Source organism: Homo sapiens, chromosome 11, assembly GCF_000001405.40.
Source record: "Homo sapiens chromosome 11, GRCh38.p14 Primary Assembly".
Classification (NCBI taxonomy): Eukaryota; Metazoa; Chordata; class Mammalia; order Primates; family Hominidae; genus Homo; species Homo sapiens.
The window spans coordinates 68,111,654-68,132,379 of record NC_000011.10 but is presented as its reverse complement, the minus strand read 5'-3'; the positions used below and the strand labels follow the sequence as shown (position 1 = coordinate 68,132,379).

Sequence of the window (20,726 nt, the reverse complement as noted above, 5' to 3'; positions counted from 1 at the left end):
CAATCTTCCCACCTTAGCCTCCCGAGTACCTGGGACTACAGGCACATGCTGCCATGCCCAGCTAAGTTTTATATTTTTGGGGAGACAGTGTTTCACCATGTTCCCCAGGCTGGTCTCAAACTCCTGAGCTCAAATGATCCCCCTGCCTCAGCCTCCCAAAGTTTTGGGATTACAGGTGTGAGCCACCACATCTGGCCTTCCTCTTTCTTAAATAACCAGTCATTCTACTCTAGGACAATAATTTTCCATACAAGATCCTTTCTCATATAAAGGTATTGTCTTTTCTTTATAAGCTTCTTTGCCAAAAATACATCTTTGTATCCATAATTTTTTTCACATCTCTCTCTCCCCTACTTAATGGTTTCTTTCAACCTTGTTTAAGGACCTTTTTTTTTTTTTTTTTTTGAGATGGAGTTTCACTCTTGTCGCCCAGGCTGGAGTGCAATGGCATGATCTCAGCTCACTGCAACCTCTGCCTCCCCAGTTCAAGAGATTCTCCTGCCTCAGCCTCCTGAGTAGCTGGAATTACAGGCGCCCACCACCACACCCAGCTAATTTTTGTATTTTTAGTAGAGATGGGGTTTCACCATGTTGCTCAGGCTGGTCTCAAACTCCTGACCTCAGGTGATCCACCTGCCTTGGCCTCCCAAAGTGCTGGGATTACAGGTGTGAGCCACTGCGTCTGGCCAAGAACCACTTTTAACTCCATAATTTGAATTGACTTTTAGATAACTTTTTTTTTTTGGTATTTTTAGTAGAGATGTGTTTCACCATGTTGGCCAGGCTGGTCTTGAACTCCTGACCTGAAGTAATCCACCCAACTTGGCCTCCCAAAGTGCTGGGTTTACAGGCATGAGCCACTGCGTCTGGGCAGATAACTTCTGAATTAGACAAAATTCTTCTTTTTCTCAATAAGAACACATCTTTGGCACATTTTATATAAATCTAGAAAGCAAGAAATCCTGAAATGCCCATTAGATATTAGCATTTTATGGATGAGCAGCATTCCACAATTCTTTTTGTTCGTTTGTTTGTTGTTTTTGACATGGAGTCTCGCTGTGTTGCCCAGGCTGGAGTGCAGTGGTGCAAACTTGGCTCACTGCAACTTCCACCTCCCAGGTTCAAGCAATTCTCATGCCTCAGCCTCCCGAGTAGCTGGGATTACAGGTGTCTGCCACCATGCCTGGCTAATTTTTTGTGTGCTTTGGGTAGAGATGAGGTTTTACCATGTTGGCCAGGCTGGTCTCAAATTCCTGATCTCAAGTGATCCACCTGCGTTGGCCTCCCAAAGTGTGGGATTACAGGCATGAGTCACCATGCCCAGCAGGATTCCACAATTCTTTTTTTTTTTTTTTTTTTTTGAGATGGAGTCTCACTCTGTCACCCAGGCTGGAGTGCAGTGGCAAGATCTCGGCTCAATGTAACCTCCACCTCCGAGGTTCAAGTGATTCCCCTGCCTCAGCCTCCCGAGTAGCTGGGACTACAGGCACGTGCCACCACGCCTGGCTAATTTTTTGTTTTTTTAGTAGAGATGGAGTTTCACCATGTTGGCCAGGATGGTCTCCATCTCCTGACCTCATGAGCCACCCACCTTGGCCTTCCAAAGTTCTGGGATTACAGGCATGAGCCATCGTGCCCGGCCCAGGATTACTTATAAAAACTATGATACTAGGCTGGTCAAAGTTATATCCTGGTTAATCATTTTTAAAGTCTGAATATTAAGTGAACACCTATCTAAGAATCTTAAACACATGAGCATTTTGCCGACAACTCAGAAGATTCAGTTATTTTCATTGAACCAATGATCTTAAATTAGTCTTACTTGCACAAGGCTATTTTATCAATAATTTCAGACATTTCTATATTTATCAATAATTTTACAACCAGTTTTATTTACCAAAGATTCATGTGAATTTGAAAAGCATTTGTACTTAATTTATAAGTACTAATTTACTTAAAATTCAATTTGGTAGCATGTTAGACACATGGTGGGGAAAGGAATGATGTGATGTGTCAGTCAGGATAGGTCAACTGCTGTAACAAACAGCCCTCAAATCTCAGTGGCTGAACACCATACAGCTCTGCTTCTGGCTCACACAAAATCCTTGCAGACGGTCTTGGTTAGGCATCTCTCCTCCTTGTGGTAACACAGGGATCCTGGCTTCCTCCTTGTGATGCTGTTGTCTTCATCCTGCAGCTTCCTAGGTCACCAGGAAAGCAGAGGAGAGTGTGAGGAAGGCATACCAGCTGTTTCACCTCCTTGGCCCTAAAGGGGTGTGTATTACTTCTGTTCATACCTTAGTCCATTCAGGTGGTGGGCGCGTAGACTTCCATGTGGTGATTCAGGGACCCAGGCTTCTTGGGACTAGTAACTCTGCCAGGTTTCTTCCCTTAGATCCTTTGCCACTAGTTAGACTTAGAGAGGGCAGAGAGGGCCTCCCAGGAGAGAGAAGTGACCTAATTAAGGAGTCACATGGTCCCAGACACTGCAAGGGGGTGGGGGGCTAGGAAATGTAGTCTTCTGGTGTGCCTAGGAAGAAGAAATGCATTCAGAGAGTGGAAGTACTGAGTCTCTGCCAGGACGGGTGGCAGCGTTCACAAGGGGATGGAATCCACACTAGGGATGGGGAGAGGTGCAGACAAGAGGCAAGAAAGTGGCAAGGTCAGTGAATGGAAGGTCGAGAGGGGTTGGGAAATCGTAGCCAGGGAGGGTCCTGGAGGAGAGGCCTAAGCTCAAAGGCTAGGAACTGGTGGACCCAAAGTGGGATGATTAAAACACATTTCAGAGCCAGGGCTATTTCTAGTGGGGAGAAAGTACAGGGCATGGTGGAAGGCCTATGCAGAGAAGATGTCAGTGAGGGTGGCAAGGTAACAGCGGCCAGGTGCTGCATAGGTCATGCAGGTAGAATGTTGAAGTCACACAGAGTGATGGCAGAAGCCTGGAGAGAAATGGGTTTTTAATTTTTTTAATACTGTGGCTGTGTGTTTCTTTGAACACTCTGTTCCAGGCTCTTTGTAACTATTCACTCATTTAATCCTTTAACAACCTTATGCAGTAGGTACTGGTATTCTCCTCATTTTACGGGCAAGGTACAGAGGCAAAGAGAGAATAATCACCTGCCCAGGGCCAAATAGCCAACAACTGGTGGGGCTGGGATTAGAACTCAAGCAGCAGGGCCCCATTAGGCTACCTCTGGAATCTTCAGACCATTTGTTCACAATTCATTTATTCATTCCTCCAAACAGTCATTGAGAATTTGCGACGTGCATGCTCTGAAGGAGGAGGGGGCCTCAGGGGTCTGTAGATGCAGGAGGCAAGGACAGGAGAGGACAGCGTGAGCCCAAGGACATAGACTTTGGGAGAGGACTGGGAAGGGGTTCTTGGCCCAGCCTGGAGGCCTTGCTTGGTCGGATTAGTCAATCCTGCCTCCCGGGCGGGGGTAGGGACCACAGGCATCCTAGGCAGCAATCCAGCCAGGGAACCTTGGCCTTATCACAGGCTGCTGGTGGCCAAGGGTTTCCCTTTCCATCCACCACCCCCGTCCACGTGGCGCGGTAGCCTGGGTAGTTTATTGTTATCAGCATTGTAAATATAAATTCTAATCGCAAAAGCAGCTTCAGCACACTAAGTCCTAGGAAAATTGTAATCCCCTTAACCCCGCACCAGCCCCAACTTTGCGGGGCAACTCCTCGCCAGGTCCCAAGGGGGGGCGGGGGTGGGGGCTTGTAGGGCAGGGAGGCCCGCAGTCGGTGGCAGTCAAGCTGCGCCGCTCCCCAGAAGCCCCGGGGCGGAGGGAGGAATGGGGGTCCTGGGACGCCTCGCCGCCAACCCCGCCCCTCGCGCGAGGCCCCGCCCGCTGTTTTCCTGGGAGCTCCGCCTACCCCGCGGGCCCCGCCCCTGCCCGCCCCTTCTGAGGCCCCCTCCTCCCGGCGCCGCTCTCGCCAGGAGGGGCCAGAGGGAAGCCAGAATCCCGTTGGTCCGGATTCCTTCTCAGCGGGCAGCCGCTGGCCTTGGAATTCGGCCCGGGCAGTAGCGCTGGGGGAGGAGGGTCCGCCTTCGCTTCCCTGTGACCCAGTGGATCTTCCCAAGGCCTGCCCCTCCTCCCCGCCGCCGCTCATCCCCCTCTGCCTTCTTAGATGGCATTCTAAGAAGCTTGGGGGCCCGGCCAAGGCTACACGGACGGGCTGCCAGTGGGGCCCCACCGATCGCTGGTAGCTTCCACAAGCTGGTGTGGGGATGGGGGCTGCCAGCTCCCCTGCCTCCCTGTCAGTCACTCAAAGGGGGTGCCGACAGGACTGGGGGCCCCTTAGGGGCCTCTTGCCATTCAGGCCTGGATGGCAAGTGCCCTTGGGAGGGGAGGATCAAGGATGGAGTAGGCCCACGACTGGCCATGGCATCCTGCGTGAGCAGAGCCGCTGTCCTGCCTGTGCCCCTGTGCCTCTGCTTACCCATCTGTACAAGGGGTCCCCTGCAGAAGGGAGGGCCAGCCCAAAGCTACCAGGCAAAAGTCCAGCCTGCAGGGCCCAGGGCTGACTGAGGGGAGAGGGGCCCTGTGCAGCCGGCAGAGGGGGTGCGGTGCCTGAACCCAGGTTGCCCAACTCCTAGCCCAGAAGTGTTATCCCCACAGTGTAACCTGCATGATGACTGGGGTCTTTTTAAAAATTGTATTTATTTTCTATTTTGTTTGTTTGTTTTTTGGAGACAGAGTTTGGCTCTTTTGCCCAGGCTGGAGTAAAGTGGCGCAATCTTGGCTCACTGCAACCTCTGCCCTCCAGGTTCAAGTGATTCTCCTGCCTCAGCCTGTTAAATAGCTGGGATTATAGACACCTGCCACGATGCCCAGCTAATTTTTGTATTTTTAGTAGAGACAGGGTTTCGCCCTGTTGGCCAGGCTTGTCTTGAACTCCTGACCTCAGGTGATCCACCTGCCTCGGCCTCCCAAAGTGCTAGGATTACACGTATGAGTCACTGCGCCACAATTTTGCATTTATTGTGCCAAAAATTGCATTTATTGTGTTACAAATGTAATGCAAGCTTAAAGCACAAAACCTCAAATCAGGTTTTCAACAAACTTGGAAAGGGAGCTTAGATTGCCTGACTTAAGACTGGCGACGGTGGCTCATGCCTGTAATTCCAGCACTTTGGGAAGCTGAGGTGGGCAGATATCGAGACTAGCCTGGCCAACATGGCAAAACCCCATCTCTACTAAAAATACCAAAATTAGCCGGGCGTTGTGGTGCACACCTGTAATCCCAGCTACTTGGGAGACTGAGGCAGGCCAGTCACTTGAACCCATGAGGAAGAAGTTTCAGTGAGCCGAGATTGCACCACTGCATTCCAGCCTGGGCAACGAGAGAGGCCTCGTCTCAAAAAAAAAAAAAAAAAAAAAAAGATCACCTGACTTAAAACACCGGCTATGTGGACACAGGAAATGCATTCTGAGGGGCCCAGGGGATCATCTCCAGTAGAGGAACGGTCACTAGGTCATTGCCAGGGTCTACTATGGCAGCCCCAGGAGGCAATCATGTGCCCCAAGGGCCTCAGATTTAGATACATCTGAATAAGGATAATCAGATTAGTACAGAGATCTGTTGTCAGGCCTGAAAGATGTTTGTCACACCATACCACTTAAGGTGCTCTACAAACCATTATTATTATTATTATTGACAGTATCTCACTCTGTCACCCAGGCTGGAGTCAGTGGCTCAATCATGTCTCTACAGCCTCAATCCCCTGGGCTCAAGTGATCCTCCTGCCTCAGCTTCCCCAGTAGCTTGGACCACAGGCAGGTGTCACTATGCTTGGTTGGCTCCATTATTATTTTAAAGTAATCCCTCTATTACCTTGAGAATTGCAAAATTATCTTGAATGGGACTTTTGCATGTGTGTTAAAAGCACTGATTTGTTCAATTTAAGTATTTCAAACATGCCCCAGTTTTGGTAACCCTGTCGAGATGTTTCTTTTTTTTTTTTTAGAGATGGAGTCTTGCTCCTGACCTCAGGTGATCTGCCCACCTCAGCCTCCCAAAGTGCTGGGATTACAGGCGTGAGCCACCGTGTCCCGCCTAGATTTTTCTTAATTTTTGAATGTGCCAGGAGCTTCAAAGAATGGAAAACTCTCCAGGCCCTGTTAGACCTGCCAGAGCTCCTGCAGGCTTTGCGCTTCCACTGGCACTTAGGATGAATGGGTATTTGCTGCTCTCTGCCAGGCTCTGGGAATCCAGCTAACAATAAGCTGAAAAGCATAGATACCCTTTGTGGGGCTTTGGCTCTACACCCAGCTCTTTCCTTGCTGGTTTCGGTGAATCTCCCCAACAGCCCTGTAGAGTAGGACTCCATTTGGGGATGAGGAAAGTGGCTTAGAAAGGTAGATGTTCTGTCCAAGGTCACACAGTGGGTGGCAGCATGACCTCTAAAGATTGTGTGTGTGTGTGTGTGTGTGTGTGTGTGTGTGTGTGTGCGCGCGCGCGTTATGGAGTCTTGCTTTTATTGCCCAGACTGGAGTGCAGTGGCATGATCTCGGCTCACTGCAACCTCCACCTCCTAGGTTCAAGTGATTCTCCTTCCTCAGCCTCCCGAGTAGCTGGAACTATAGACATGTGCCACCATGCCTGGCTAATTTTTGTATTTTTAGTAGAGACGGGGTTTCACCGTGTTGGCCAGGCTGGTCTCGAACTCCTGACCCAGGTGATCCACCTTGGCCTCTCAAAGTGTTGGGATTACAGGCGTGAGCCACTGCACCTGGCCAGAATTTTTACCCATAATATTATACTCAAAATCCCTGCAAATGAGGACAGGAGGAATGCCTGCCCCACCCACCAGACAGATGGATATTCTAGTCACCTGCTTCCTCTGAGCCCTGTGGGCCCTAGACTCTGGCTGCGGGTGCTGAGCCAAATGTATGGTAGAAGGGTCAGTCCAAGTCAGACCACACTTGTGCTCAGAGACCTCCAGAAAGCTGCTGGACCTACACAGCCTTTCGCTGACAGAGCTGGGCTGGGGCCACGCTCAGCACTCAGGGAAAGCCCAGCTCCATGTCACTCTGCTAGCTGGCACTGCAACCCAATCTTCAACATGGAGGATTGCAGCCAGGTGGCCTCTGTGCTCTCATCAATATTTTAAGGCTCAGAACTGGAGCAGGGGTGCTTGGTCCTGGGTGTGACCTGGGAGGAGGTGTGAGCACAGCCTTGCCAGGGCTCTGCTTCTCCAGCCCGTGAGGGAACCCCCACTGTGCCAAATGTCTAGTGCTTCCTGGGCCAAAGGTGCTTATGGTGCAGAAGGACAGAAGGACAAGGCTCCCCTGGATGGGGTCCTGGGTGGAGTCCCAGGTCCTGCTGGCCTTTAACGAATGGTTTTATCCCCTGGGAAGCTCCCTTGCCACCTGGGAGATGAAGTGCTAATGACACTCACCTCACTGCTGCTTAGGGAACTTGCTGTATGCAGCATCTTTGAAAGGGCTCAAAGCCTGCTCCTACCAGGTGCTTGACAGTGGGTTCCCCCATCTTGGGGGGAGTCAGACTCACAAAGCCCTTTCTCAGAACAGGCCTTGGAGTTGGTGGCAGGGCTGAGGCCCGTGGGTGGACCCCGAGGAACCCATCAGCAGGAAATTCAGAGTGGACGGGAACTTCCCAATCTTTCCTCTATCCCTCCTAAGGCCCATCACCCACCCTCTGAGTCTGCTCTCAGAATTCAGCATCAATCACAGAGCTTTTGGATAATTTTTTTATCTTATCCTAGAGGAAAAGGTTTGGTAATTGGAACAACCTCCAATTACCTGCCATAGCAAGTTTCTCTCAAACTCGTCTACTTGTGCACAGACATTGACATTTTGGTTATCAGAGTGTTTGAATTATTTTTGTTTAAAATGTATTTTTATTTTCCTAGCCTCTGTTGCCCAGGCTGGAGAGCAGTGGCGTGATCATGGCTCACTGCAGCCTTGAACTCCTGGGTTCAAGGGATCCTCCCACCTCCGGCTTCTAAGTAACTGAGATTACAGGCACATGTCACTGTGCCTGGCCAATTATTTTATTTTTTGTAGAGACAGGGTCTCACTTGTTGCCCAGGCTCATCTTGAACTCCTGGCCTCAAGCAAACCTCCCACCTTGGCCTCCCACAGTGCTGGGATTACAGGCATAAGCTACTACACCCGGCCCAAATTCTTTTCTTATACGACACTGTCTTCCCAAGCTGTGAAATGCTACAAGTGCATGCATTATTCATCTCCGAAAACCAACCACTGGCAGAGGCAACGCCATGCAATGCACTGCACGCAACCAAACGGTTACTTCTTGCATGCTATGCATTTTGCATACATTCTCTCAATCCTGGATGCTCGGGGTATTATAATCCCCATTTTATAGTTGAGGAAACCGAGGCTCAGCCCAAAGTCATAAGTTAATAATTGCTGAGCCAGGAGCTCACTGATTCATTCATTCAGCAAATACGGTCTCACTCTGTCACTCAGGCTGGAGTGCAGTGGGTGCCTTGACCTCCCAGGCTCAAGTGATGCTCCTGGCTGAGCCTCCCAAGTAGTCGGACAAGTGTAAGACACAATGCTCTGTTAATTTTTTTTTTCATTTTTAATTTTTGAGACAGTCTTTTTTTTTTTTTGAGACGGAGTCTCGCTCTGTCTCCCAGTCTGTAGTGCAGTGGCGCGATCTCGGCTCACTGCAACCTCCGCTTCCTGGGTTTTATGCCATTCTCCTGCCTCAGCCTCCCGAGTAGCTGGGACTACAGGCATGCACCACCTACGCCCGGCTAATTTTTTTTGTATTTTTAGTAGAGATGGGGTTTCACCGTGTTAGCCGGAATGGTCTCGAACTCCTGACCTTGTGATCCGCCCACCTCGGCCTCCCAAAGTGCTGGGGTTACAGGCATGAGCCACCTCGCCCGGCGAGACAGAGTCTTGTTATGTTGGCCAGGCTGGTCTCAAACTCCTGGCTCAAGTGATCCTCCTGCCTTGGCCTCCCAAAGTGCTGGGATTACAGCCATAAGCCACCATGCCTGGCCTTGAGGCAACCTCTTCCTCCCACAGGGAACTGTGATCCCATAAAAATGTCTGAGGCTTTTCCTAACAAAAGCCAGCAGATGCCAGAAAGAGTTATTTCAAATTATAGAGGGCCACTCCTTACTTTAGTGTCCCTTCCTCCTGGCCAGATTTCTGGCATTCCTTTGAGATTACCAGACTGGTGCCAGGGGACAGTGGGACAAAGGGCTTGTCACCTGGGCAGGCCATTGGCATGGCCCCACCTCCCTGTGAGCCGGTATTTTTAGAGAAAGTCCTTGGCTCCTTTATCCAAACGGCCTCCCCAGATTGAAGCCCTTGGCTTCTCAGCCTTTCAAACATCCAGTGGCCGGCCTCCGTCCCAGGGGCCTTGGTCTCTCCTACCTCCCTGCAGGTCAACTTCCAGGCCTGTCGCCACAGCAGCCTTACAAAAGTCCCCTTTCATTTTTATCCTTAAATAAGACCATTTTGCGTGGAGCAAGTTCAGCCAAGTACACACTCTAAAAGATTTTTGCGGCCGGGCGCGGTGGCTCACTCCTGTAATCCCAGCACTTTGGGAGGCCGAGGCGGGCGGATCACGAGGTCAGGAGATCGAGACCATCCTGGCTAACACGATGAAACCCCGTCTCTACTAAAAATACAAAAAAAAAAAAAAAAAAAAAAAAAAAATTAGCCAGGCGTCGTGGCGGGCGTCTGTAGTCCTAGCTACTCGGGAGGCTGAGGCAGCAGAATGGCGTGAACCCGGGAGGCGGAGGTTGCAGTGAGCCGAGATCGTGCCACTGCACTCCAGCCTGGGCGACTGAGCAAGACTCCGTCTCAAAAAAAAAACCAAAAAACATTTTTGCTTCTGGAAGACTGTGAACTCCCCACATAGAAGCATTTCCTGTGTATCAGGCACTGGATTTCCTAAGCCCCTGGCAGCCCAGGAAACCTCCTGTTTCAGCTCATGTCCCATAAAATGGGATCCATAATTTTTATATGTATCAGCACCTCACTTCTAGGAAGGACGGGAGCAGTGAGGGACATGGGGCAGTGTGTGGCAAACGGTAGCAGGGGCCCTTGCCCCTCTACCCCGGCAAAGGTGCGTTAGTCACGGTCACAAGGCTGTTTCCTGCGGGGGATGGGGAGGCAGGGGCAGCGTCCACAACGCCAGTAGCCCCGTGGCACGCACCTTTGGCCTGTGCTCTGGGCAGTTGCGGCGGCCCCATGGCGGGGATGATGCCCCTCCCTCGACGGTCCCTGGGCCTCCAGCCCTGAACTTCTAGGCCCGAGCATCCTCAGTACCACGGACAGGGAAACTGAGGCTGCGGGAGGCGTGCAGAGGGCTGGGCCCCGGTAGCCGGCGTGCAGCCGGGCCCAGCCTGGCCCACCGTGTGGCCTCGAGCCCGTCACCTCTTCCCTCCTTCAGACCTCGGTTTCTTAGTAATTCTTCGGGCTCCGCGTTGGACAGGGCGAGACGCGCCTGTGGCAGCGCTGGGAAATGTTACAAAATCACACCCACTGAGCCCCAGGAGGAGGCTGCTCGCCCAAGGTCACGCGGAGAGGGCAGTAGCCTCCAGACACGTTTCCTGCCTGCCCCTGCCAGGCCCGGCCTCTGATGTCACGGGGCTTCCGAGGGGTCCAAGGAAACTTTCAGCTCCCAAAGCCAACCCCGGGGTCCTCCGAGGCTCAGGAGCCTCCCTCGCTCGGCCCAGTCCGGCTCCGTCCCACCGCGGAGGCGCTCTCCCGGCGCCCCCCGCGCCTCGCTCCCCTCTCCCCCTTCCCTGCGACCGCCGGGGCGCCCCCTCGACGCCCCGCCCCCTTCGCCCAGGCCCCGCTCACGGAGGCCGCAGCGCTCTGGGTTGGGGGCGGCGCCGCAGCCAATGGGGAGGCGGTGTGGCGAGGGCGGCGGCGGTTATGATGCGCCGGGCCGGCGGACGGCGGCCAATCAGTGGCGAGCGCGAGGGCGGGCTGTGACGCGGCCGGCGCTCCTCGTGCGGCGGCGGCAGAGGAGCGAGTGCAGCGGCCAGCAGCACATCCCCGCTCCACAGTCGCCGCAGTCGCCGCAGCCGCCGCCGCCGCCCCGCGCGCCCAACCGCCGCGGCCCCCTGCCCCGCCGGCCTGCCAGTGAGAGAGCGGCGAGGGGGCGCCCGGCCGGACTCTGAGCCTAGTCCTCTCGCGCTGCGGCCGCCCGCGCCTCCTCGGCCGCCTGTCGGGCATGAAAACCAAATTCTGCACCGGGGGCGAGGCGGAGCCCTCGCCGCTCGGGCTGCTGCTGAGCTGCGGTAGCGGCAGCGCGGCCCCGGCGCCCGGCGTGGGGCAGCAGCGCGACGCCGCCAGCGACCTCGAGTCCAAGCAGCTGGGCGGCCAACAGCCGCCGCTCGCGCTGCCCCCTCCGCCGCCGCTGCCGCTGCCGCTGCCGCTGCCCCAGCCCCCGCCGCCGCAGCCGCCCGCAGACGAGCAGCCGGAGCCCCGGACGCGGCGCAGGGCCTATCTGTGGTGCAAGGAGTTCCTGCCCGGCGCCTGGCGGGGCCTCCGCGAGGACGAGTTCCACATCAGTGTCATCAGGTCGGTGGCGCCGGGTCTGGGGGCCGCGGGACAGTCAGGTGACGCGGGGCGGGGCCGGGGCGGGGTCCGGGCAGGGGGCGTGGGCCGGGGGGGTCGGGGGCCGGGGGAGCCGGGGCCGGGGCGGAGGCCGGGGACCGGGGACCGCAGCCGGCGAAAGCCCTCCTTCTCCCAGCCCTGGGTAATCCAAGGGAAGCGGGTTCGCGGCCGCCGCAGGCCGTCCACAAACAGGCTTTTGTAAAAACGTCGGTTTCATGAGAAAACGGGTCTGTTCTAGGAGAACAATACCGTTCCATCACGAAGTGCGTGTGGTACTGACGCTTAAGATAGGTCTAGAAAGTCTCTGCGGTTTAGGGCCTTGAATGAAGGTGTTGTGGCTGGCTTTAAAAACACAAACCACTTTTTAACTTTTTTCTGTTAGTTTTTCGAGTTCGCGATTTGATGTCTTGTTCCCTCTCCAAGAGTCATTGTTAGTGGAGGAGTAGCATTTTCTCATCCCCTAAGAGACATCACTATAGCTGTGTTACTAGACAAAGGTGGGAGGCGTGGCTCCTAAAATAAGAGTAAGGTAGAAATGTTTTTTCCTTTTTTTTTTTTTTTTGAGACGGAGTTTCGCTCTTGGTCCCCAGGCTGGAGTGCAGTGGCGCGACCTCGGCTCACTGCAACCACGGCCTCCCGTGTTCAAGCGATTCTCCTTGCCTCAGCCTCCCGAGTAGCTGGGATTACAGACACACGCCACCACGCCCGGCTAATTTTGTATTTTTAGTAGAGACAAGGTTTCTCCATGTTCGTTAGGCTGATCTTGAACTCCCGACCTCAGGTGATCCACCCGCTTCGACCTCCCAAAATGTTGGGATTACAGGCATGAGCCACCGCGCTCGGCCATTTTTTCCTTTTTTTAAACTTGAAAATATTTAATCTTAAATTTGAATTACAGAAGTACGCGTGTAGGTATTCAGACTTAACAGAAGTCTGACCTTCTTTCACCACTCTGCTCCGAAGACATAACCATTCAACGTAGTGTGTGCATCCTTCTATTGAGACCTTTAAAGATGTGTTCCCGGGCCGGGCGCAGTGGCTCACGCCTGTAATCCCAGCACTTTGGGAGGCCAAGGTGGGCGGGTCACGAGGTCGGGAGATCGAGACCAGCCTGGCCAACATGGTGAAACCCCATATCTACTAAAAATACAAAAATTAGCTGGGCATGGTGGCGCACACCTGTAGTCCCAGCTACTTGGGAGGCTGAGGCAGGAGAATCGCTTGAACCTGGGAGGCGGCGGTTGCAGTGAGCCGAGATCACGCCACTGCACTCCAGCCTTTGACAGAGAGAGACTGTCTCAAAAAAACAAAAACAAAGAACGTGTTCCGTCATTTTCTGCCAATTTTCTTTTAATTGGCTGACAGGTTGTGTGCAGTATCTAGAAATTTGCTGGCTGGCTGCCACCAGTAATCCCCAAGTCCAGTTTTGGTCATTTGATTCCTTTTCTGTGCCCACTGTCTTTCACCAGAGCCGCTAATGCAGCAAAATTAACTCTTTGAGCTTCACTTCCTCTTTGTGCTTCAGCCCCTCTGACTGCTTATGAGCTAAGAGTGAGAGTTAATAGGCAGTTGGTAAGGAAGCAGAGAAAAGAAAACCGAGGCTGTTTAGATAATCCCTGAATTGCTTAATGGCACTTAAAAAAAATTCAGCTCTCTCCAAGGTTTACTTTAATCTACTTTTAGTTAGGCCTGAAAATTCTCAACTAGAAGGGCGATCATTTTAGGCCATGTACTCATCAGTCTGTGAAATGGAAAACCTAAAGGAGAAGTGACTTGCCTGAGGTCAGTGGCTGTTTACTGCCTTCAAAGCCTGAACTGCCAGGTCTCTGGTGTCCCCTTCTCCTGCACCAGTGCTCTAGCCTGCGGCCTGTGAAAATGTTTGGACACCCTAGATCCAGCCTTAAGATATTTTCATGGCTTTCTCCAGGGAGAGTCACTCAGCAGTTAAACTTTTGCATTTTGCTCAAACCAGTTATTAGGAAAGCATTGAGGATGTCTTGTTTCTTTTCTCCAGGAGTTAGCAGTCTTGGAAAACACAGCTTTCCTTTTGGATTGGATGACCTTTTTACATAATGTTGCAAGAGTACACTCTCTCAGTCCTGTGTTCTGAAAGAGAACGTAGTTATGGAATAAGTTTAATAAGGAGAAAAAAAGGTGATTTAGGACATGGGAAAGTGGGTGATGTCTAGCTTTTAAAAAAGACACAAGGGCATTTGGAGGTGCGGAGAAGGAGAGGAATTCGTCTGGTTGAAATTCAGTGATTCTCCATAGGCAGTTGCAGTTATTATGGCTCCAGCTATCAAATTTTACTGACATTTCCCAATCTGATTCTGGTTTTTGGTTTTTTTTTGGAGACAGGGTTTCACTCTGTCGCGCAGGCTGGAGTGCAGTGGTGTGATCACAGCTCACTGTAGCCTCGACTTCCCAGGCTCTGGTGATCCTCCCACCTCAGCCTCTCAAGTAGCTGGGACTACAGGCACGCACCACCATTACTGGCTAATTTTTGTATTTTTGTAGAGATGGGGTTTCGCCATGTTGCCCAGGCTGGTCTTGAACTCCTGAGCTCAAGCAGTCCTTCCGCTTCAGCCTCCCAAAGTGCCAGGATTTTAGACCTGAGCCACCATACCTGGCCCCGATCCGTTTCTGGAGCTCCGTGTTTCACTGAGTGCCAGTGCATCTGCAGTAGTTGATGAGACTTCACCACCTCAACTCAGTGCATTCCTATTCCAAATTTAACCCTTTGGCTCCTCCCCACCCAGGAATGTGCTTCTGCTTTCGCTCTGCGTTTGTAGCAGCAGCCTGGCCAGAGCCCCAGGATCATTTCTAACTCTGCATTCCCCCAGAAATCCCTCCTCTGCACACAGTTGTAACTCAAACCTGATGAGCTACTTTTGTATCCCCACCTTCTGTCTGGTCCCTTTGCTGTCCTTGCTTAGACACTAGAACAGGAGGTGCCTTAGGATCTTCTTGCATTTTGTGTGTTCCTTCTAATCCATTCTGTATCTTGTTGCTATGGATTTCTCAAATATTGGAAAATAAAATCCAAACTTGTTTGCATGGTCTAAACTTGAGCCTTGGCCTACCTTTTTATTTTTTATTTTTAAATTTATTTTTTGAGATGGAGTCTTGCTCTGTCACCCAGGCTGGTGTGATCTCGGCTAGCTGCAACTTCTGCCTCCTGGGTTCGAGCGATTCTTGTGCCTCAGCCTCCCGAGTAGCTGGGACTACAGATGCACCACCACATCCGGCTAATTTTTGTATTTTTGGTAGAGATAGGGTTTCACCATATTGACCAGGCTGGTCTCGAACTCCTGACCTCAGGTGTTCCACCCTCCTTGGCCTCCCAAAGTGCTGGGATTACAGGCGTTAGCCACTGCACCCTGCCCGGCCTAACTTTTTAGACTGGTTCTTTTTGTTATTACTGTTTTAAAATCACTCCTTCTCCAGAACCACAGCAACTAACATTGAGCTAGTTACACTGGAGCCTGCATTTTCTGAATGAGCTTTGTGTTTTCAGTTTCCAGGCCTTTCTTTGCCCCTACCCTCTGCTTGGCAGCCTTTCCCTTGGTGTGTTTCCTTTAAAATTCCTCTTTCAAGGCTTAACTCAGAGAGAACCAGACATACTGAATTTCTTTCCCCTCTGTGTCTCATCCTTAGCACTTTGTACATGCAGGCCTTGTTATCACAACCCTTAACACGTTTGTGTGTGTGTTTATTCATTCCATTCTCTTGTTAGATTGAATTCCTAGAGGGCATTTCACGTTCATCTTTGTATCTCCAGCACTAGGATAGTGCCTGGCACACCGGAACTGGATAAGTGTAGAAATTGTCATTTTTAGCTTAAGTTGGCCTCTTTGCTGTGTGATGAACGGAGATCCTTGTCTGAGTCTCTTCAACTATGAGTGGTATAGGGAAAAATAAAAATTGTCCTAACATGAGAGTTGTTGTTAATGAGCTGACCACTTAGAAAATTTGTTCATTTCCAGACATCACAACTTAATACTAACTTCTGTCCCTGCCTATCAAATCAATAGTATGTTATTAGCATTTTCTTTCTTTCTTTCTTTTTTTTTTTTTAAGACAGTCTTGCTCTGTTGCCCAGGCGGGAGCACAATGGCGCGATCTCGGCTCACTGCAACCTCTGCCTCCCAGGTTCAAGCGATTCTCCTGCCTCGGCCTCCCGAGTAGCTGGGATTACAGTCACATGCCATGTCCAGCTAAATTTTTTTTTTTTGGTATCTTTAGTAGATACAAGGTTTCACATGTTGGCCAGGCTGGTCTTGAACTCCTGACCTCATGATCCGCCTGCTTTGGCCTCCCATAGTGCTGGGATTACAGGCATGAGCCACCACGCCTGGCTACCTGGCTAATTTTTGTATTTTTTGGTAGCCACGGGGTTTTACCATGGTGCCCAGGCTGGTATAGAACTCCTGGGCTCAGGTGATCCGCCTGCCTCCGCCCAAAGAGCAGGGATTACAGGCGTAAACCACCACACCCAGCTTAGAGTTTGTTATTTTCATTGCTGATTGATAAGGTCACAGCAGTTGTGAAATGAAGTTTAAAATCTTGTGAAGGATACAAGATTTCATGAAGTTCAATGAATGAAATGTTGGAGACTAAGTTTCACACACATCTTTTGACATTACGTTCCACAGACCCACTAACAGTGAAAAGAAAACCATTGAGGAGGATGCTACCTTGGGCCCTGCAAAATAGAATCATATCAAAAGATGGAGAGAGTCCCATGAAAAGACTGGCCAAGTCCTCAGATACTGTAAAATTAATGCAGTAAAACTCACATAGGAAGTTAATTGTGTCTTATGGTGCCATCATAATTTTTTTGGAAAAATTGTGCCCAAACTCCCTACTTTTCATTTTAAACGTTTGCTTTTCAAATTAAACATAAATATGTAGTTGTATTATAACCTAAATTATGTTACATATAAGAACAGAAACAATTTTCAATTTCATTTTTCAAGATACAATTTTATTTACACTTTGTTTTTACTGGAAAGTTTTGTTCCTTGGGTGGCTGGCTTGCTGGCTTTCTTTTTCTTTCTTCCTTTTTAAACTAATACACTATATTTTTTAGAGCAACTTGTATTTGTTTGTTTAGAAATGGGGGATTTCACTGTGTTACCCAGGCTGGTCTTGAACTCCTGGGCTCAAGTGGTCCCTCCTGCCTCAGCCACCTTAGTAGCTGGGATTACAAGTGTGTGCCACTGTGCCCAGTTTTAGAGCAGTTTTAGGTTCACAGCAAAATTGAGCAGATAGTACAGAGAGTTCCCATATAACCCCCTGCCTGCACACAGGCACTGCCTTCCCCTTTCTCAACTTCCCCCACCAGAATGGGACATTTGTTACAACTGAGGAACCTACATTGACATATTATCACTCAGAGTCCATAACACACTACATCCTATTCTTGCTGTTGTACATTCTGTGGTTTTTGGCCACCGTATAATGACATGTATCCACCATTGTATTGATGCTGCTTTACATGATGAGCTTACTTCAACAGGGTTATGCCCTGATAAACCATCATAAATTGAAATGCATTTAATACATTGAATCTACTGAACAGCATATCTTAGCCTAGCCTACCTTTAATTTGCCAGAACACTTACACATTAGCTTACAGTTGGGCAAAGTAATCTAACAGAAAGTCTGTTTTTATAATAAAGTGTTAAATATTTCATGTAATTTATTGATTACTGAAAATGAAAAATAAAATGGTTGTATGTTTACTTGAAGTATGGTTTCTTCCGAATACATATCACCTTTGTACCATTGTATAGTCGAAAAATCATAAGTTGAACCATCATAAGTTGGAGACCATCTGTAGTGTCATACAGAATAGTTTCACTGCCCTAGAAATCCTCTACTTAATGTCTGTTTATCCCTCTTTCCCTCCTAAGCCCAGCCAATCACTGGTCTTTTTACAGTCTCCATAGGTTTTCCTTTTCCAGAATGTCATAGAATTGGAATCACACAGTATGTAAGTCTTTTCAGTTTGGCTTTTTTCACTTGATAATATGCACTGAGTTTCCCTGGGTCTTGTCTTGTCTTTTCTTCTTCTTTTTTTTTTTTTTCCCGAGACAGAGTCTCGCTCTGTCGCCGAGGCTGGAGTGCAATGGTGCGATCTTGGCTCACTGCAACCTCCGCCTTCCGGGTTCAGGCAATTCTCCTTCCTCAGCCTCCCAAGTAGCTGGAATTACAGGCATGTGCCACCCCGCCTGGCTAATTTTTTGTATTTTTAGTAGAGACAGGGTTTCACCATATTGACCAGGCTGGTCTCGAACTCCTGACCTTGTCATCTGCCTGCCTTGGCCTCCCAAGGTGTTGGAATTACAGGGGTGAGCCCCTGTGCCCAGCCTCCCTGTGTCTTTTCATGGCTTGATAACTCACTTCTTTTTAATACTCAGTAGTATTCTGTCATCTGGATATACCACAGTTTATTTATCCATTCATCTACTGAAGGACATCTGGGTTACTTCACGGTTTTGGCAATTATGAATAAAGTTGCTCTAAACATTTGTGTGTAGGTTTTCAATTCATTTGGGTAAATACTTAGGAGCATGATTGCTGGTCATATGGTGAGAGTTACGTTTAGTTTTGTAAGGAACTGCCAAACTGTCTTCCAGAGTAGCTGTAACATTTTGCATTCCTACCAGCAGTGAATGAGATTTCCTGTTATTCTATGTCCTTACTAGCATTTGGTGGTGTCAGCATTCTGGTGTTTGGTCATTCTGGTAGGCGTATAATGGTCTCTCATTTTCTTTTTCTTTCCTTTTTTTTTTGAGACAGAGTTTCACTCTTGTTGCCCAGGCTGGAGTGCAATGGCGCGATCTCGGCTTGCTGCAACCTCCGCTTCCTGGGTTCAAGCGATTCTCCTGTCTCTGCCTCCTGAGTTCTTGAGATTACAGGCACCTGCCACTACGCCTAGCTAATTTTTGGTATTTAGAGATGGGGTTTCACCATGTTGGCCAGGCTGGTCTTGAACTCCTAACCTCAGGTGATCCACCTGCCTCGGCCTCCCAAAGTGCTGGGATTACAGGCATGAGCCATCGCGCCTGGCTGTTTTTTGTTTTTGTTTTGAGACAGAGTCTTGCTCTTTTGCCCAGGCTGGAGCGCAGTGGTGTGATCTTGGCTCACTGCAACCTCCGCCTCCCGGGTTCAAGCAGTTCTCTGCCTCAGCCTCCTGAGTAGCTGGGATTACAGGCGCCTGCCACCATGCCCGGCTAATTTTTTGTATTTTTAGTAGAGGTGGGTTTCACTGTGTTGGACAGGCTGGTCTGGAACTCCTGACCCACGTGATCTGCCCACCTCGGCCTCCCAAAGTGCTGGGATTACAGGCGTGAACCACCGCGCCCAGTCAGGTATCTTATTTTAATTTGCAACTTTCTAATGACATATGATGAAAATCTTTTCAGATGCTTATTTGCTATCTGTATATCTTCTTTGATGAGATGTCAGTTTGTGTCTTTTTCTTTTTCCTTTTTATTTTTTTAAGAAACTGGGTCTTGCTACATTGCTCAGGCTTGAGTGTAGTGGGTATTCACAGATGTGGTCCTCCTGCCTCAGTCTCCCAAGTATCTGGGACTATAGGGGCATGCCACAGAGCTTCTTGCCCATTTTAAAATTTTAATTTAATTGTTTTTTTTTTTCCTGCCACAGCTTCTTTTTTTTTTTTTTTTTTTTTTTTTTTTTGAGACGGAGTCTTGCTCTGTTGCCCAGGCTAGAGTGCAGTGGTGCGATCTTGGCTCACTGCAAGCTCCGTCTCCCGGTTTCACGCCATTTTCCTGCCTCAGCCTCCCGAGTAGCTGGGACTACAGGCGGCTGCCACCACGCCCGGCTAATTTTTTGTATTTTTAGTAGAGATGGGGTTTCACTGTGTTAGCCAGGATGGTCTTGATCTCCTGACCTCGTGATCCTCCTGCCTCGGCCTCCCGAAGTGCTGGGATTACAGGCATGAACCACCGTGCCAGGCACCTGCCACACCTTCTTGAGTGGGAAAGTGTTTTCCTATTCTTGAGTTTTAAGAGTTCTTTATATATTTTTGTTAACAGTCCTTTATCAAATGTGTCTTTTGCAAATATTTTTTCCTTGTTTGTGACTTTTCATTCTCTTGACAGTATCTTTTGCAAAGCAGTTTTTAATTTTAATGAAGTCTGGCCTATCAATTATTTCTTTCATGGATCATGCTTTTGATGCTGTATCTAAAAGTAATCTGGCTGGGCGCAGTGGCTTATGCCTGTAATTCCAGCACTTGGGGAGGACAAGATGGGTGGATCACCTGAGGTCAGGAGTTTGAGACCAGCCTGGCCAACATGGTGAAACTCTGTCTCTTCTAGAAATACAAAAAAATTAGTCTGGTGTAGTCGTGGGCACCTGTAATGCCAGCTACTCAGGAGGCTAAGGCAGGAAGAATCGCTTGAACCCGGGAGGCGGAGGTTGCAGTGAGCCTGGATTGCGGCACTGCACTCCAGACTGTTGCGACAAGAGTGAGACTCCGTCTCAAAAAAAGTAAATAAATAAATAAAAGCAATCACCATACCTAAGGTCATCTAGATTTTCTTCTATGTTACCATCAAGAAATTATCTAGTTTTGCATTTTATATTTAGCTTTATGATCCATTTTGATTTAATTTTTGGGAAGTGTAACGTCTGTCTAGATTTTTTTTTGCATGTGGACGTCCCGTTGTTCCAGGACTTTTTTTTTTTTTTTTTTTTTTTTTGAGACGGAGTTTTGCTGTTGTTGCCCAGGCTGGAATGCAATGGCGTGATCTCGGCTCACCGCAACCTCCACCTCCCAGGTTCAAGCGATTCTCCTGCCTCAGCCTCCTGAGTAGCTGGGATTACAGGCATGCGTCACCACGCCTGGCTAATTTTGTATTTTTAGTAGAGACGGGGTTTCTTCATGTTGGTCAGGCTGGTCTCAAACTCCTGACCTCAAGTGATCCACCCGCCTCAGCCTCCCAAAGTGCTGGGATTACAGGTGTGAGCTACCGCTCCGGGCATGTTCCAGGACCATTTGTTGAAACAACAAATGGTTTGTTGTAAAAGACATTTGTTACATTGTATTGCCTTTGCTCCTTTGTGAAAGATCTGTTGACTATGTGAGTGTATTTCTGTACT

The 20,726-nt window shown here is 49.7% G+C and overlaps 1 protein-coding gene and 1 long non-coding RNA gene across 14 annotated transcripts in view, besides 9 other annotated features; one reads left to right on the top strand and one right to left on the bottom strand.

Annotated features, from left to right (window-relative positions):
* Nucleotides 1-1,864: 1,864 nt before the first annotated feature.
* CHKA-DT (CHKA divergent transcript) lies at nt 1,865-10,492 on the bottom strand. The gene is made up of 4 exons (NR_183630.1): nt 10,177-10,492; nt 3,192-3,299; nt 2,298-2,939; nt 1,865-2,201 (listed from the first exon to the last, which is right to left on the bottom strand). It is a non-coding gene; the product is annotated as a CHKA divergent transcript (long non-coding RNA).
* Nucleotides 9,487-10,253: an enhancer, noted in NCBI's record as "NANOG-H3K27ac-H3K4me1 hESC enhancer chr11:67889594-67890360 (GRCh37/hg19 assembly coordinates)". NCBI's record gives its function as "activates a minimal SCP1, AML or CMV promoter by ChIP-STARR-seq in naive and primed H9 embryonic stem cells {active_cell/tissue: H9 hESC(naive and primed)}" and the evidence as "EXISTENCE:reporter gene assay evidence [ECO:0000049][PMID:30033119]".
* Nucleotides 10,138-10,237: a silencer, noted in NCBI's record as "silent region_3660". NCBI's record gives its function as "represses an Ori minimal core promoter by ATAC-STARR-seq in GM12878 lymphoblastoid cells {active_cell/tissue: GM12878}" and the evidence as "EXISTENCE:reporter gene assay evidence [ECO:0000049][PMID:35858748]".
* Nucleotides 10,254-11,019: an enhancer, noted in NCBI's record as "NANOG-H3K27ac-H3K4me1 hESC enhancer chr11:67888828-67889593 (GRCh37/hg19 assembly coordinates)". NCBI's record gives its function as "activates a minimal SCP1, AML or CMV promoter by ChIP-STARR-seq in naive H9 embryonic stem cells {active_cell/tissue: H9 hESC(naive)}" and the evidence as "EXISTENCE:reporter gene assay evidence [ECO:0000049][PMID:30033119]".
* Nucleotides 10,588-11,017: a silencer, noted in NCBI's record as "silent region_3659". NCBI's record gives its function as "represses an Ori minimal core promoter by ATAC-STARR-seq in GM12878 lymphoblastoid cells {active_cell/tissue: GM12878}" and the evidence as "EXISTENCE:reporter gene assay evidence [ECO:0000049][PMID:35858748]".
* The window catches only part of CHKA (choline kinase alpha), a 68,530-nt gene continuing 58,795 nt past the window's right edge, over nt 10,992-20,726 (top strand). For 10 of the 13 annotated variants that reach the window (NR_164782.1, XR_007062448.1, NM_001376222.1 and 7 more), the window contains exon 1: nt 10,992-11,552. Coding sequence is in view for 7 of the 13 variants with exons in the window: in NM_212469.2 (NP_997634.1) it covers nt 11,203-11,552 (350 nt within the window). In the remaining 6 variants the exon portion in view is untranslated. Of the gene's footprint in view, nt 11,591-20,726 lie in introns of all 13 variants that reach the window. The other 3 variants (XM_047426323.1, XM_047426317.1, XM_047426318.1) reach the window with 3 other exon arrangements.
* Nucleotides 11,588-11,717: a silencer, noted in NCBI's record as "silent region_3658". NCBI's record gives its function as "represses an Ori minimal core promoter by ATAC-STARR-seq in GM12878 lymphoblastoid cells {active_cell/tissue: GM12878}" and the evidence as "EXISTENCE:reporter gene assay evidence [ECO:0000049][PMID:35858748]".
* Nucleotides 11,868-11,997: an enhancer, noted in NCBI's record as "active region_5132". NCBI's record gives its function as "activates an Ori minimal core promoter by ATAC-STARR-seq in GM12878 lymphoblastoid cells {active_cell/tissue: GM12878}" and the evidence as "EXISTENCE:reporter gene assay evidence [ECO:0000049][PMID:35858748]".
* Nucleotides 12,138-12,267: an enhancer, noted in NCBI's record as "active region_5131". NCBI's record gives its function as "activates an Ori minimal core promoter by ATAC-STARR-seq in GM12878 lymphoblastoid cells {active_cell/tissue: GM12878}" and the evidence as "EXISTENCE:reporter gene assay evidence [ECO:0000049][PMID:35858748]".
* Nucleotides 12,693-13,209: an enhancer, noted in NCBI's record as "H3K4me1 hESC enhancer chr11:67886638-67887154 (GRCh37/hg19 assembly coordinates)". NCBI's record gives its function as "activates a minimal SCP1, AML or CMV promoter by ChIP-STARR-seq in naive H9 embryonic stem cells {active_cell/tissue: H9 hESC(naive)}" and the evidence as "EXISTENCE:reporter gene assay evidence [ECO:0000049][PMID:30033119]".
* Nucleotides 13,295-13,484: an enhancer, noted in NCBI's record as "active region_5130". NCBI's record gives its function as "activates an Ori minimal core promoter by ATAC-STARR-seq in GM12878 lymphoblastoid cells {active_cell/tissue: GM12878}" and the evidence as "EXISTENCE:reporter gene assay evidence [ECO:0000049][PMID:35858748]".